The sequence below is a fragment of the Homo sapiens genome, chromosome 2 (assembly GCF_000001405.40).
Source record: "Homo sapiens chromosome 2, GRCh38.p14 Primary Assembly".
NCBI lineage: Eukaryota > Metazoa > Chordata > Mammalia > Primates > Hominidae > Homo > Homo sapiens.
The window spans coordinates 239,641,887-239,656,019 of NC_000002.12; the positions used below are offsets into that span (position 1 = coordinate 239,641,887).

Below are 14,133 nucleotides of genomic sequence, written 5' to 3' on the forward strand. Positions count from 1 at the left end.
TGCCTGGTGTGTGTGACCCTGGAGCCCCTCTGCCAACTTCACTCCCCACCTCTTTGGCCAGTGGTCTGGGGGTTCTTATTCTCCGCACGTTCTTGCTCCTTTCTTCCACATCCTCTTGGCCAACTTCTTCATCTCCTTGGGTTTTGGAGATTCTGTGCGTCCCCCCAGGTGGGCCGGCATCCTTGACCGGCCATCATGACAGCTGGCTGCTGTTGGCTGCAGCCTTCGATACACATTCACGTGCAGAGAAAGCGCTTTCCCCTGTTACGGGATCTTTGTGGACTTTGTTCCAAGGGAAATGGAAGCCATGGCATTTGAGGGCAGAGCCAGGCCATTGGGCAATCGTGGACGGAGATAAGGGGGACAGCATGGGTGTGAGAAGGGGGAGTTGTCAGGGTGGTTGGAAAAGGTCTCCTCCACTGTGGGGATTGTGCAGGTGCATGGGAGGGTGTGTGTAGGGTGTATGTTGGGTGTGGGGGACGTGGGCTCTGTAGGTTTGTGTGGTCAGTGTGAGGGGATGTGCAGTGTGGGGTGAGAGAGTTTTCTGTAGGGTGTGTAAAGTGTAGCTGGGGTAAGATGTCTGCTCACTGTGAGAATGTGTGGTGTGTGGTGTGTGTGTGTGGTGTGTATGTGTGGGGGTGTGGGAGTGTGTGTGTCGTGTGTACATGTGAGGTGTGTGTAATTGTGTGCGATGTGTATGTGTGTGGTGTGTTAGGTCTGTGTGATTGTGTGTCATGTTTGTGCATGCATGTGGTGTGTGTGGTGTGATTGTGGTATGTGTATGTGTGCGGTGTGTGAGGTGTTTGTGGTATATGTGTATGTGTGGGGTGTGTGAGGTGTTTGTAGTATATGTGATTGTGGTGTGTGTATGTGTAGTGTGTGTTATTGTGTGTGGTGTGTGAGGTGTGTGTGGTGTGATTGTGTGATGTGTATGTGTGTGGTGTGTGTGATTGTGTGTGATGTGTATGTGTGAGGTGTGTGTGATTGTGTGTATCATGTCTGTGCATGTGTGTGTGTGGTGTGTGGGGTGTGTGTGATTATGGTGTATATGTGTGGGGTATGTGGGTCTTGTATGGTGTGTGACTGCCATGTGTTTGTATGAGTGTGGTGTGTGTGATTGTGTGTGATGTGTGTGATTCTGTGTATGTGGTGTGTGGGGTGTGTGGAGTGTGTGTGATTGTGTGTGTGGTGTGTATGTGTGGGCTGTGTGGGGTGTTTGTGGACTTTGTTCCAAGGGAAATGGAAGCCATGGCATTTGAGGGCAGAGCCAGGCCATTGGGCAATCGTGGACGGAGATAAGGGGGACAGCATGGGTGTGAGAAGGGGGAGTTGTCAGGGTGGTTGGAAAAGGTCTCCTCCACTGTGGGGATTGTGCAGGTGCATGGGAGGGTGTGTGTAGGGTGTATGTTGGGTGTGGGGGACGTGGGCTCTGTAGGTTTGTGTGGTCAGTGTGAGGGGATGTGCAGTGTGGGGTGAGAGAGTTTTCTGTAGGGTGTGTAAAGTGTAGCTGGGGTAAGATGTCTGCTCACTGTGAGAATGTGTGGTGTGTGGTGTGTGTGTGTGGTGTGTGATTGTGTGTGCATGTGTGTGATTGTGTGTGGTGTGTATGTGTGGCATGTATGGGGTTTGTGTGGTGTGTGCGATTGTGTGTCGTGTGTTTTTATGAGTGTGGTGTGTGATTGTGTGTGGTATGATTGTGTGGTGTGTGTGGTTGTGTGTGTGGTGTGTGGGGTGTGTTGAGTGTGTATGATTCTGTGTGTGACTGTGTGCATGTGTGTGGTTGTGTATAGTGTGTATCTGTGGGGTGTGTGGGGTTTGTGTGGTGTGTGCGATTGGGTGTCGTGTGTTTGTATGAGTGTGGTGTGTGATTGTGTGTGGTGTGATTGTGTGGTGTGTGTGGTTGTGTAAGTGGTGTGTGGGGTGTTTTGAGTGTGTATGATTGTGTGTGTGACTGTGTGTGCATGTGTGTGGTTGTATATGGTGTGTATGTGTGGGGTGTGTGGGGTTTGTGTGGTGTGTGCGATTGTGTGTCGTGTGTTTGTATGAATGTGGTGTGTGATTGTGTGTGGTGTGATTGTGTGGTGTGTGTGGTTGTGTATGTGGTGTGTGGGGTGTGTTGAGTGTGTATGATTGTGTGTGTGACTGTGTGTGCATGTGTGTGGTTGTATATTGTGTGTATGTGTGGGGTTTGTGTGGTGTGTGCGATTGTGTGTCGTGTGTATGTGTTGTGTGTGATCGTGTGTGGTGTGGTTGTGTGTGTGGGGTGGTGCAGTGTGTGTGACTGTGTGTGCATGTGTACATACTTGTGCACAGCCACACATCCTGTGCTCACGCCCCAACGTGCCCTGCACTTGGACTGAGGGTGGCGTGGAGAGCAGGAGCTGTGGCTGCTGTCCCCAGGGAGCTGTCCAACGTTTTCAAGCACTGTAGCTTTGCCCTGTATTGGAGCATCTGAGAGTCAAGAAAAATGTAACAGCTCTATTGAAGTGTAGTTGACAAGTGCACACATTTAAAGTGCACAGTTTGGGACGTTTGACGTCTGCGTAGATACACACAGGTGAAGCCGTCCATCCAGTTATGACCACAGTTTGGGACGTTTGACGTCTGCGTAGATACACACAGGTGCAGCCGTCCATCCAGTTATGACCACAGTTTGGGACGTTTGACGTCTGCGTAGATACACACAGGTGAAGCCGTCCATCCAGTTATGACCACAGTTTGGGACGTTTGACGTCTGCGTAGATACACACAGGTGAAGCCGTCCATCCAGTTATGACCACAGTTTGGGACGTTTGACGTCTGCGTAGATACACACAGGTGAAGCCGTCCATCCAGTTATGACCACAGTTTGGGACGTTTGACGTCTGCGTAGATACGCACAGGTGAAGCCGTCCATCCAGTTATGACCACAGTTTGGGACGTTTGACGTCTGCGTAGATACACACAGGTGAAGCCGTCCATCCAGTTATGACCACAGTTTGGGACGTTTGACGTCTGCGTAGATACACACAGGTGAAGCCGTCCATCCAGTTATGACCACAGTTTGGGACGTTTGACGTCTGCGTAGATACACACAGGTGAAGCCGTCCATCCAGTTATGACCACAAGCACTCTTCCTGTCCTGCCGCCCCACTCTCCCTGGTGCCCCTTGGGGACCCACCTGTCCTGCCTCTGGCTGCCCTCCTCCTCCAGTGCCCCATCCACAGGCAATGGCTGATCTGCCTCTCACATCACAGATCAGTTTTCATTTTCTAGAAATGTCTGTAACAAGAAACGCAGTATGAACACTTTTTCCTTTTTTTAATTTTTAAAGTCATCATATAGTCATATAGATTTTTTCATTTTAGCTTGCAGTTCCATGCATGTAAACACATGATCAGTTACAATCACCACAACAGGTCCAGGGCTCCACCTGCCCCCAAATCCTTTGTGTTATTTCTTTTCTTTTTTTCTTTTTCTTTCTTCTTCTTCTTTTTTTTTTTGGGTGAAATCTCGCTCTGTCGCCCAGGCTGGAGTGCAGTGGTGCGATCTCGGCTCACCGCAAGCTCCACCTCCCAGGTTCAAGCGATTCTGCTGCCTCAGCCTCCCGAGTAGCTGGGATAACAGGCACCCGCCACGATGCCCAGCTAATTTTTTGTATTTTTAGTAGAGACGGGGTTTCACCATCTTGGCCAGGCTGGTTTTGAACTCATGACCTCAAATGATCCACCCACCTCGGCCTGCCAAAGTGCTGGGATTACAGGAGTGAGCCACCGCGCCCAGCCTCAGCTATTTCTTTATGGTCACACACTACCTCCCCCCCCCGCCCCCCGCCGATCTGTTCTCCTCCACCATAGTTTTAATTATTGAAAATGAGAATGGCACATACATGGAATCACACAATCGGCAGCCTTTGTGACCAGTTTCTTTCACCAACACCTGCCTTGGAGAGTTGTTCACAAGCTCGTATGCATTGATAGTGTGGTCCTCGTGTGGCCGATAGAGTTGCACTGTGGATATATCAAGCGTGTGGGTCTTTCGCCTGCTGAGGGGCGTCTGGGCTATGCCAGCGTTTGAAGTTGGGAATACGCTCAGACTTTGTGACTTTACCTTGCAGGGCGCTGGGCATCTCAGTCTTCCTATAAATATTCTTGAGCTCTGTTCTGGAAGGGCTTAAACTGCAAAGAAAGTTTAGTCCTTTTGTTTCTTTGCTAGTTGGGACCTGAGCAGAATCGAATCTAGGGCTACTCTTGCCCCTTCCTGGGGCAAAAAAGCCCTTCTGAGTGCTTACCCAGTGCCCACGAGGGTGGCATCCACTCAGCCGGCGGGAGTAGGAGCTGCGCCTCCCCTGTGTGCCTGGACGTTGCCTTTTCCAGTTCTCAGGGATTTCCTCACACACATGCTCTGATGGGCTCTCAGCTCCAAACCTAAGGGGAGCCTCTGCACGTTCTCCAGAATGTTCTCTCTGTACACTGTGCTCCTCTGAGGGCTCTGCTCGCTCACGCCGGCCCCTTTGGCCTCTCCAGAATCCATCTCCAGCTCCCGGGCTGTGCGGCTGGACATTTTCCAGAGCTGATCTGGGGGCAGCCCCGGGGACACCTTGTTTGCTTCCCAGCCCGCAGCGATCACTGTCCTTCCTCATCTACTGTCCACTGTCTTCAAAACCATCGTTTCACATATTTTGTCCAGGCTTACAGTTATTTCAGGAGAGAGGAGAAACCCCATCCCGGTTACTCCATAGTCAGAAGGATAAACCTAGTTTCTTCGACTCCACCTTGGGAAGATGAAAGCCAGAGTCTATACTCTACGGTAGAAATGATGAGTGGGTTCCTTTTACTCTGTGAGATGAGAAGTATAAACTCCATTCCTACTCTCCACTGTGGTGGGAACAGCAGTTCCTGCCCCGTGACAACTAGCTCTTCATTCTCCTGCCTTTTATGACTTTTCATGGCTGTAATTTTATGTTTATTTTCCATATAAACTCTAGAATTAGCTTGTCAAGTTCCTGCTGTTATTTTATTAGGATCACCTCAAGGTTTCTAAAAATTATTAATACAGCAAGTCTTCTGAAAATAGAGTTATTCTCCAAGAATAAGATATATCTTGCCACGTACTCAAGTCTCCTTTTCTGTACTCGAGTAAGATATTAAAGTTGTCTTAATGTAATTTTGCAAGTTTCTTGTTAAATTTATTCCTAGAGATTTTTTTTTTGTCTTTTCTTCCTTCATCTATTTCTTGGAGGTTATCATCTGTCTTAGTCCCTTCGGGTTGCTATAACCAAATACCATAGGCTTGGGTAGCTTGTAAACAAAGGAAACTTATTTCTCACAGTTCTGCAGGCTGCGGGTCTAAGATCAAGGTGTTGGCAGATTTGGTGTCAGATGAGGGCTGCTTCCTGGTTTGTAGATGACGCCTTCTCCCGGTGTCCTCACGTGGCAGGAGAGGCAAGAGGTCATGCAGTTCCATTTGTGAGGGCTTTGCTCTGATGACCTAATCACCCCAGAAGCCCTAGCTCCTACTACCATCACTTGGGAATTAGGATTCATAACATATGCATTTTGTGGGGACACAAACTTTTAGACCGTAGCATTATTGCATAAGAGTATGGCATATTAATTTTGTGACCAGCCTTTATGTTTATTAAATTTCTATTTCAATTACATTTTCAGCTGTATTTGCACATCATGAGCAAATAACGAGACGCCGCTCACTTTCTCCCATGCAACTCTGTTTTCTTATTACATCAATTAGCACTTCCTGAAAAATGTTAAATGGCAGTGCTGCTTTGGGTTGCCTTGCATGTTCTGAGCTTTAAGGAAGTTATTTAGTTTGTTTTCCCACTAAGAGTGATTTTGGTTTTAATTTGAGATAAACATTTTGATATTCCTGAGGAATTATCCAAAATTCTATTGTTACTACTACTCCTCCTATTACTAATATTAAGTGCTTGAAGCCAGGATGGATATTGCATTTTACAAATTGGCTTTCAAAGTCTGAGGAGTAAAGACTTCCTGGTCCACCTAGATTGAGCAGCCCCATTTTTCCCAGATACTCCTTCTTGCAACTCAACATCTCTGGACATACACAAGCACCAAGCAAGGGCAGACTCTGGAGAGTGGGAGGAAGAAGGTGGATGAGCAGTGCCTCAAGACTGACATGGAGGGAATCCCCTGGGTTCCTATTACTTCCAGCCTTGACCTGAAAACAAGCACAGACCAAAAGGGCACTCCAAGAAAAAAGCACAAGTTCCCCCTGAAAAGGACCCCGAATAGGGGAGCCTAATAAATAGTAGAAAAACTTTTTGGTGATACCCACCCCACTCTAGCCAAACACTAACAGAAAACCTGCACGTCCTCCATCCCCTAGTTTTCAAGAGGCTGAGTGGGACATTGATCTTCCATGACACTCCCCACACGCCCTGCCTCTGAGCAGGCTGCCAGCTGCCTGCTCAGATTCCCCTGTGCTGGGTGTGTGAGGTGGTGTGAGGGGGTCCAGCAGGGACCTGGCCTTCCACTTCTCTTTGGGTGAGAGCAGGAGACTTTCCAGTTTCTCTGCTGGGGTACACTGGTGGGGCCCAGCTGGGAGCTGACTTTTCATTCCTTGCCCAGCAGAAGCAGATAGTACTTCAAGTCTCATCCTACCTTGGGGTACTAATAGTGGGGTCTCACTGCTGCTGAGTCTCTAACCCCACCTGGAGTCAAGACTGAATGCCAAGCACAGGCTGGGGCTAGAGAGCTGCCACCTTTCCCAACTCTGGGTGTCATGAGGTCTAGTGAGGACCTGCACCTCCACAACCACCCAATAGCAGTGACCCTGAGAGAAGCTGTGGGGGTGGTTAGCTGTCACTGCTGTACCTCATCCTCCATCCTGGTGTCAGTGGGCCCCCATGGGGAGCTGAGCTTCTGCCCCCATCCTATAGCAACAAAGCAGGATGAGTCAGCCATACCCTCCCTGCTTCCTGGTGGCAGCTGGGCCCAGCGGGGAGCTGATCTTAACCCAAACTCAGAGGCATTAAGGCAGTGAGAGTCAGAAAAGCATCCATGGGGCTGGCAGGGGCTGAACAGCTGGCCCTTACGTCTGCAGTGTGGCACTGTGAGCTGGAACTCCACCTGTGCTGGGGGGCCCAGTAGGAAGCTAAACACACACACCCACCTGACCCTCACACTACAAAAAGATTAAATAGGATCCAGAGTCTCATCATATGATATTCAAGATGTCTGGAAGATAATAAAAAATGACTTGTCTTATCTAGAACCAAGAAAATCACAAGTTCAATGAGAAAACAAAATCAACAGACATTAACAGTGAGATGAAGCTGATGTTGGAAATACTTGAAAAGGATTTTAAAGCAGACATCATAAAAATGCTTCAACAAATAGTTACAAATACTCTTGAAACATTTTTTAAGAAAATCTCAGCAAATAAGTAGCCATTACAAGAAAGAACCAAAGAAAATCAGAGAACTAACAAATACGACAAGTAAAATAAAAACCTTGCTGGATGGACTTGATCATAGAATGAAAATGACTGAGAATAGAGGTAGTGAACTTGAGAATAATCAACTGAATTACCCCAATCTGAGGAATAGAGGGAAGACAGAATAACAACAGCCAAGAACAAAGCCTGAGACAGTCACGTGACAGTAACAAGGGGGTTGACATTTGTGTCACTGGAGTCCCAGAGAAAGAGGAGACAGAGAATGGGACTGAAGAAGTACTCCAGAATACGATGGCTGAAAAATCCCCAAATCTGATGCAAAACATAAACTTACAGATTCAGTAAGCTGAATAGATGCTAAATAGATTAAACACAAATAAATATATGCCAAGAAGGGGTGGGAAAAGACATATCATACAGACATTAATTTAAAAAAATCAGGAGTAGGCTGGGCATGGTGGCTCACGCAGGTAATCACAGCACTTTGTGAGGCCAAGGCAGGTGGATCTTTTGAGGTCAGGAGCTTGAGACCAGCCTGGCCAACATGGTGGAACCCCGTTTCTACTAAAAATACAAAAATTAGCCAGATGTGATGGCATGCACCTGTAATCCCAGCTACTTGGGAGGCTGAGGCAGGAGAACCACTTGAACCCAGGAAGTGGAGGTTGCAGTGAGCTGAGACCACACCTTTGCACTCCAGCCAGGGAAACGAGATTGAAACTCTGTCTCAAAAAAAAAAAAAAATCAGGAGTAGCTGTATTAATGTCAGGTAAAGGGGGCTTGAGATCAAAGAAAATTGCTAGAGACAAAGAGAGACAGTCCATATTAACATAATGATTGATCCACTAGGAAGACATAAAAATCCTAAATCTGCATGCACCAAACACAGAGCCTCAGAATACATGAAGCAAAGCCAATGAGAACCTAAGGGAAAAATAAACCCTCAGGTTATAGTTGGAGCCTTCAATCTTTCACTTTCAGCAATTGAAAGAACTCTTAGACAAAAAACCAGAACACAGCCAACCGATGGTATCTAAGTGAGCACTCCACTCAGCAGCAGCAGAATAGACAGTTTTTCAAGCAACCGTGGGGCATTAACCAAGATAGATTATAGCCTGGGCCTTCAAGCAAACTGCAACGAGTTTAAAACAACTGAAATCATACACAATATGGTCTCTGACCATAATGGAATCAAACTAGATATCAGTACAGAAAGACAACAGGAAAATCTCCAAACACTTAGAATTTAAACAAAATGCTTCAAAATAATTCATGGGTCAAAGATGCAGTCTCTAAGGAAATTTTTTAAAATGCATAGAACTGAAGGAAAATAAAAACACAACATATAAAACCATGTGGGATGCAGCTGAGAGTACATTTTGTAAATTTATAAATGCTTACATTAGAATAGAAGAAAAATCTCAAATCAATAATATAAGTTCTATCTTAAGAAATGATAAAAAAAGGAACAAAACAAACCCCAAACGACCAGAAGAAACTAAATAATAAGTGCAGAAATCAGTGAAGTTGCACATAGGAAAGCAATTGAAAAAAAATCGATAAAGCAAATATCTGGTTCTTTGAAAAAAATCAATAACATTGGTAAATCTCTAGCAAGACTGACTTACATAAAAAGAGAAAAGACATGAGTCACCAATTTCAGGCAGACCAAAATTTAACGATGTAAAATAAATGGACCAATTTTTCACAACCCTCAAACTATCAAACTCCACAAGATGAACTAGACAGCCTGATTAGTCCTAAAACAATTAAGAAATTGAATCTGTAATTAAAAATCTCCAAGCAACTACTGACAAAGGCACAAAAGTGATTGAAGAGAAGTGCAGTCTTTTGTCTTTTCAACCATGGTGCTGAAGCCATTGGACATCTGCAGGCAGAAAAAATGAACCTCAAACTTAACTGTACACAAAAACCAACTCCAATCTCATTGCAGACCTAAACGTAAAATATAAAACTACAAAAGTTTTAGGGGAAAAAAGAAATAGGTGAAAATCTTTGGGACCTAGGATAGGCAAACAATTCTTAGGTTTAAGGCCAAAAGTAAAAAAGAACAATTTGATAAATGGGGTTTCATTAAAGTTAAAACTCTTTGTTCTGGGAACAGGACGAAAAAATAAGCTACTGAGTGAAATGACATATACATAAACTACCTATCTGACAAAAGACTTGTATCTAGACTATATAAAAAGCTCCTAAAACTCAACAGCATAAAAAATTAAGAACCCAATTACAAAACGGGGAAAGAAAAGGCACTATAGACAGCAAATAACAATTAAGAACCCAATTACAAAATGGGCAAAGAAAAGGCACTAAAGACAGCAAATAACCACATGAAGAGATGTTCAATATCATTAGCCATTGGGGAAGTGCAAATTAAAACATGATAAAAATTATGACACAACTATCAGTATGGCTAAAACAACAACAACAAATAGTGACAACACCAAATGCTGGCAAGGATGTGGAGAAACTGGGTCACTTGTACATTGCTGGTGTGAATGCAGAATGATCCAGCCACTCTGGAGACCAGTTTGGCGTTTTCTTGTAAGACGAATCATGCTGCCATTGTACAGGCCAGCAATTGTACACTTTGATACTCACCTCAGAGAAATGAAAACTTATGCTAGCACGAAAACTGTACATAAATATTCATCACAGTTTTATTCATCATAGCCAAAAATTGGAAACAACCCAGATCTCCTCAAAGGAGTGAATGGTTAAATAAACCGTGGTACATCTACACCATGGAATAATACTCAACATGAAAATAACTGAACTATTGAGTCACACATCAGCTCAGGTGAATCTGCAGAGAATTAGACTCAGTGGAAAAACCCTATTCCCAAAGTTATGTCGTGTATGATTACATTTATGTAATATTCTTAAAATGACAAATGTATAGGAGTAATGCGGGTTGGTGGTTTCCAGGGGTCAGGGATGGGGATGGGTGGGCGGAAAATGGGAAGCAAGTGTGGTTTAAAAAGATAGCATGGGCCGGGCGCGGTGGCTCACGCCTGTATTCCCAGCACTTTGGGAGGCCCAGGCAGGCGGATCACGAAGTTAGGAGATCGAGACCATCCTGGCTAACGCGGTGAAACCCCGCCTCTACTAAAAAAAAAAACACAAAAATTAGCCAGTCGTGGTGGCGGGCGCCTGCAGTCCCAGCTACTCGGGAGGCTGAGGCAGGAGAATGGCGTAAACCTGGGAGGCGGAGCTTGCAGTGAGCCGAGATCGCGCCACTGGACTCCAGCCTGGGCGACAGAGCGAGACTCCGTCTCAAAAAAAAAAAAAAAAGGGGGTAGCATGAGGGATTCTTGTGATGGGCATGTTCTATTTTTTTTTTTTTCTTTTTGAGACAGGGTCTCACTCTGTGGCCCTGGCTGGAGTGCAGTGGCGCGATCTCGGCTCACTACAAACTCCACCTCCCGAGCTCAAGCTATCCTGCCTCAGCCACCCAAATAGCTGGGAGTACAGGTGTGCACCACCACGTCTAGCTAATTTTTGTAATTTTTTGTTGTTGTTGTAGAGATAGGGTCTCACAGTGTTACTCAGGCAGGTCTCAAACTCCTTGGCACAAGTGATCTGCCTGCCTGGGCCTTCCAAAGTGCTGGGATTACAGGTGTGAGCCACAGTCCCTGGCAACGGGCATGTTCTTTATTTTGTCTGCATCAACATCAGTCTCTTGGTTGTGGTATCATATTGGAGTTTTGTAGGATGTTACCATGGGGGAAACTGAGTAAGGGGCACATGGGCTTTCTCTGTATTAGTTCTTACAACTGCATGTGAATCTACAATTATCTCTAGATTAAAAAGTTTAATTTAAAAAATCAGAAGAGCTAACCAAATGGCTTTTATCCAATGACCTATTTAATTAGCAAATTATGAAATTGAGTTCCTTGTGTTGACCAATCTTTCTTCTTCAAAGGAACCCAGTTTGTAGGGTGCTATGCTTTCAAAACGCCCTGTTCCATTCGACGTGTTTGTAATTTTCACAGTGATATTTCTGAATGTGATTGGTCTAAAGTTTCTCTTTGTGTCTGCCTATTAGCTTTATGTGCTACTGTTATGGTGACTTTATAAAAAGTGTTCTGGTGTGTTACTTTTCTATCTATTCTCTGGAACAGTTCAGAGAGCATTAGGCTGGTTTGTTCCGTGAAGCCTAGATATATTTATCCTTGTGTTTCTTGAAGTTTTTGCTTTAAGCATTTTAATGTAATATTACTTCTCACAGAAAAATATTAGATCATTATTGTAGATTGTTATTTTTATTTTTGTGTGTTTTCTTGTTATTTTGCCTTTCCCACTATTCTTTTTCTCTGTTCTGAGTCACTTTGTTCAGATGCAGCTCATGTACTGTATGTGGCCTGTTGATAAGTTTTGGATTTTAACCCTGGGAACTTTATTTCCTATTAATATATTAATTTTCCCATTTGTTTATTGATATAATTTTTTTATATTTTTGTCATCTTGTTTTATTAAAGATCATTTGTCTACTATAAGCTATGTGTGTTTGTGTGTAATTTTTAATAGCTTGCATGCTTATAGTGTAGTCTCTATTTCTTAATGAAAAGTGTTAGATTTTATATAATCTCTCCTAACTCCAAGAAACTTATTCTCTTATCCTTTCTCTTAACTTACTTCCTTCCCTTTAACCTTCCAATTTAGTTTATGCTATATTTTTAATTTCCTGTGGTTATCTTTATATAATTGTATGAAATACTAAAATTCCTAGTACAGGCTGTATTTCCCTTATCCAAAATGCTTGAGACCAGAAGTGATTCAGATTTCATATTTTTTTCAGATTTTAGAATATTTGCATGTACATGATGAGATATCTTGGGAATGGAACCCAAATCTAAACATAAAATTTATTTATGATTCTTATATACCTTATACAAATAGCCTGAAGGCAATTTTATACATTGTTTTATACAATTTTGTGCATGAAACAAAGCTTGTGTACATTGACCCATTAGAAAGCAAAGGTGCCACTATCTCAGCCACTGGTGTGGACAGTCTGGGGTTGTCTGGCATCACCATCATTCCTGACTCTGGATTTATGTGCTACTGATCAGCCACCATTTTCTTACACTTACTGACATATAAGTACTTAACAGTAAAAAATGACACGCCATTAACACAGTGAGAAAATATCATGTTCAGGGTATCTCAGCAGCACAGCAGCGTCACTGGCACCCCTGCACTAGCTTCTAAACCTCAGCAGCAACAAACAATGGCCGCTTCCAGCCACCACCTACAATGCTGCATTTTGATTACAAGGCTGCTGTATGCAGTATTTTTTTTAGGTGAGAAGAAACATCAGAAACAGTTGGAAAGGACCGGGAGGTGGATCCTCTAGGGATGTGGAGGGTTTCTGCTGGATGGCTTTCTTAAATGTTTCCTCTAGAGTCATCTGTGTCAGTAACGTTTGTGTGTGTGTCTTAGAAGTCTCTCTAGGATTTTATAAACTGCCATGATTTCTTGCTCTGTTATGAATTCATGTTGCTCTAGTCGTTCAAAAAGCCCAACACACACTCTCGCCATGGCACCTGTAGGCACCCTTTCTGCAGTGTTAACAACGTCATCCTCAGCATCACTATTATCATCATCACCTTGACTCAGAACTTTTGTCTGTTTCATCGTTGGTCGATGAATGCACAACTGAAGCCTCATTATGAATGTTAAAGACTTATTGGAATCCACTTCTTCTCGCTTGCCGATGGACTGTGTAGGTATATTTCTTGCATCTGTAAGAAGGTCAGACATCATCTTTTTCTCACTTGACATATGGAATCCTTCAAAGTCACCACCTTGTTCATCATCATCACTGAACGTAGTTACACACCAGAGGCTGTGCCAGGCATGCATGACTGTGTCTTTGGTCACTGTGTTCCAGGTTGGCAACAGCATATAACAACAGCCTTCATGCTAAATTCCTTTCGAAAACCTTCCCCACACACACATCTGTTTACTGCTGCTAGCATGCTCCTTAAGAAAGTGATTTTCTATTTATTCTTCATTAATCTAAGGATACCTTGGTCATGTGGCTGAATTAGTGAAGTCATGCTTGTGGGAAAGTACTTGGCATAAACATTATTTTTTATGAGAATTTCAGCTGAAGGATGAGCAAAACAATTGTTAAGGAATAACAAAATCTTGCAATTATCCAGTCCAGCTTCCCTGCAGTGAGCATGAGCCACTGGTACAAAATGTTTATGAAACCAATCAGAAAAGATGTTCCTGGTGATCCATGCATTTCTGTTAGCAAAATATGAACTGGTAAGAAATTCACTCCTTAAAAATAATAAGGATGCAGGCTCTTGCCTATCACAGCAAGCTTACACGTACACATGGCTGCTGCATTTGCAAATCCCAGCAAAGTCTTTCTGTCCCTCCTGTAGGAGCTGTGTCATCAGCGGTAGTCCGTGTATTTCTCTGGAAATAACACCAGAACAGTAATGTTTTATCAACATTATAGACTTTTTCTGAGCATCAGATTTTCACTAGTGATGGCCTTGGCAAATTCATCAGGTCATCAGTGAATTTTTTTTTTTTTTTGCTTCATGACCAGCAGATGATTTATCACCATAAACCTTTAAAAATTTAGCACTGTGGCCGGACGTGGTGGTTCACACCTGTAATCCCAGCACTTTGGGAGGCCGAGGCAGGTGGATCACAAGGTCAGGAGTTCCAGAC

The 14,133-nt window shown here is 44.0% G+C and overlaps 2 annotated features.

The window, feature by feature from the left end:
• Window positions 2,377–2,904: an enhancer, noted in NCBI's record as "H3K27ac-H3K4me1 hESC enhancer chr2:240565957-240566484 (GRCh37/hg19 assembly coordinates)". NCBI's record gives its function as "activates a minimal SCP1, AML or CMV promoter by ChIP-STARR-seq in primed H9 embryonic stem cells {active_cell/tissue: H9 hESC(primed)}" and the evidence as "EXISTENCE:reporter gene assay evidence [ECO:0000049][PMID:30033119]".
• Window positions 2,905–3,430: an enhancer, noted in NCBI's record as "H3K27ac-H3K4me1 hESC enhancer chr2:240566485-240567010 (GRCh37/hg19 assembly coordinates)". NCBI's record gives its function as "activates a minimal SCP1, AML or CMV promoter by ChIP-STARR-seq in primed H9 embryonic stem cells {active_cell/tissue: H9 hESC(primed)}" and the evidence as "EXISTENCE:reporter gene assay evidence [ECO:0000049][PMID:30033119]".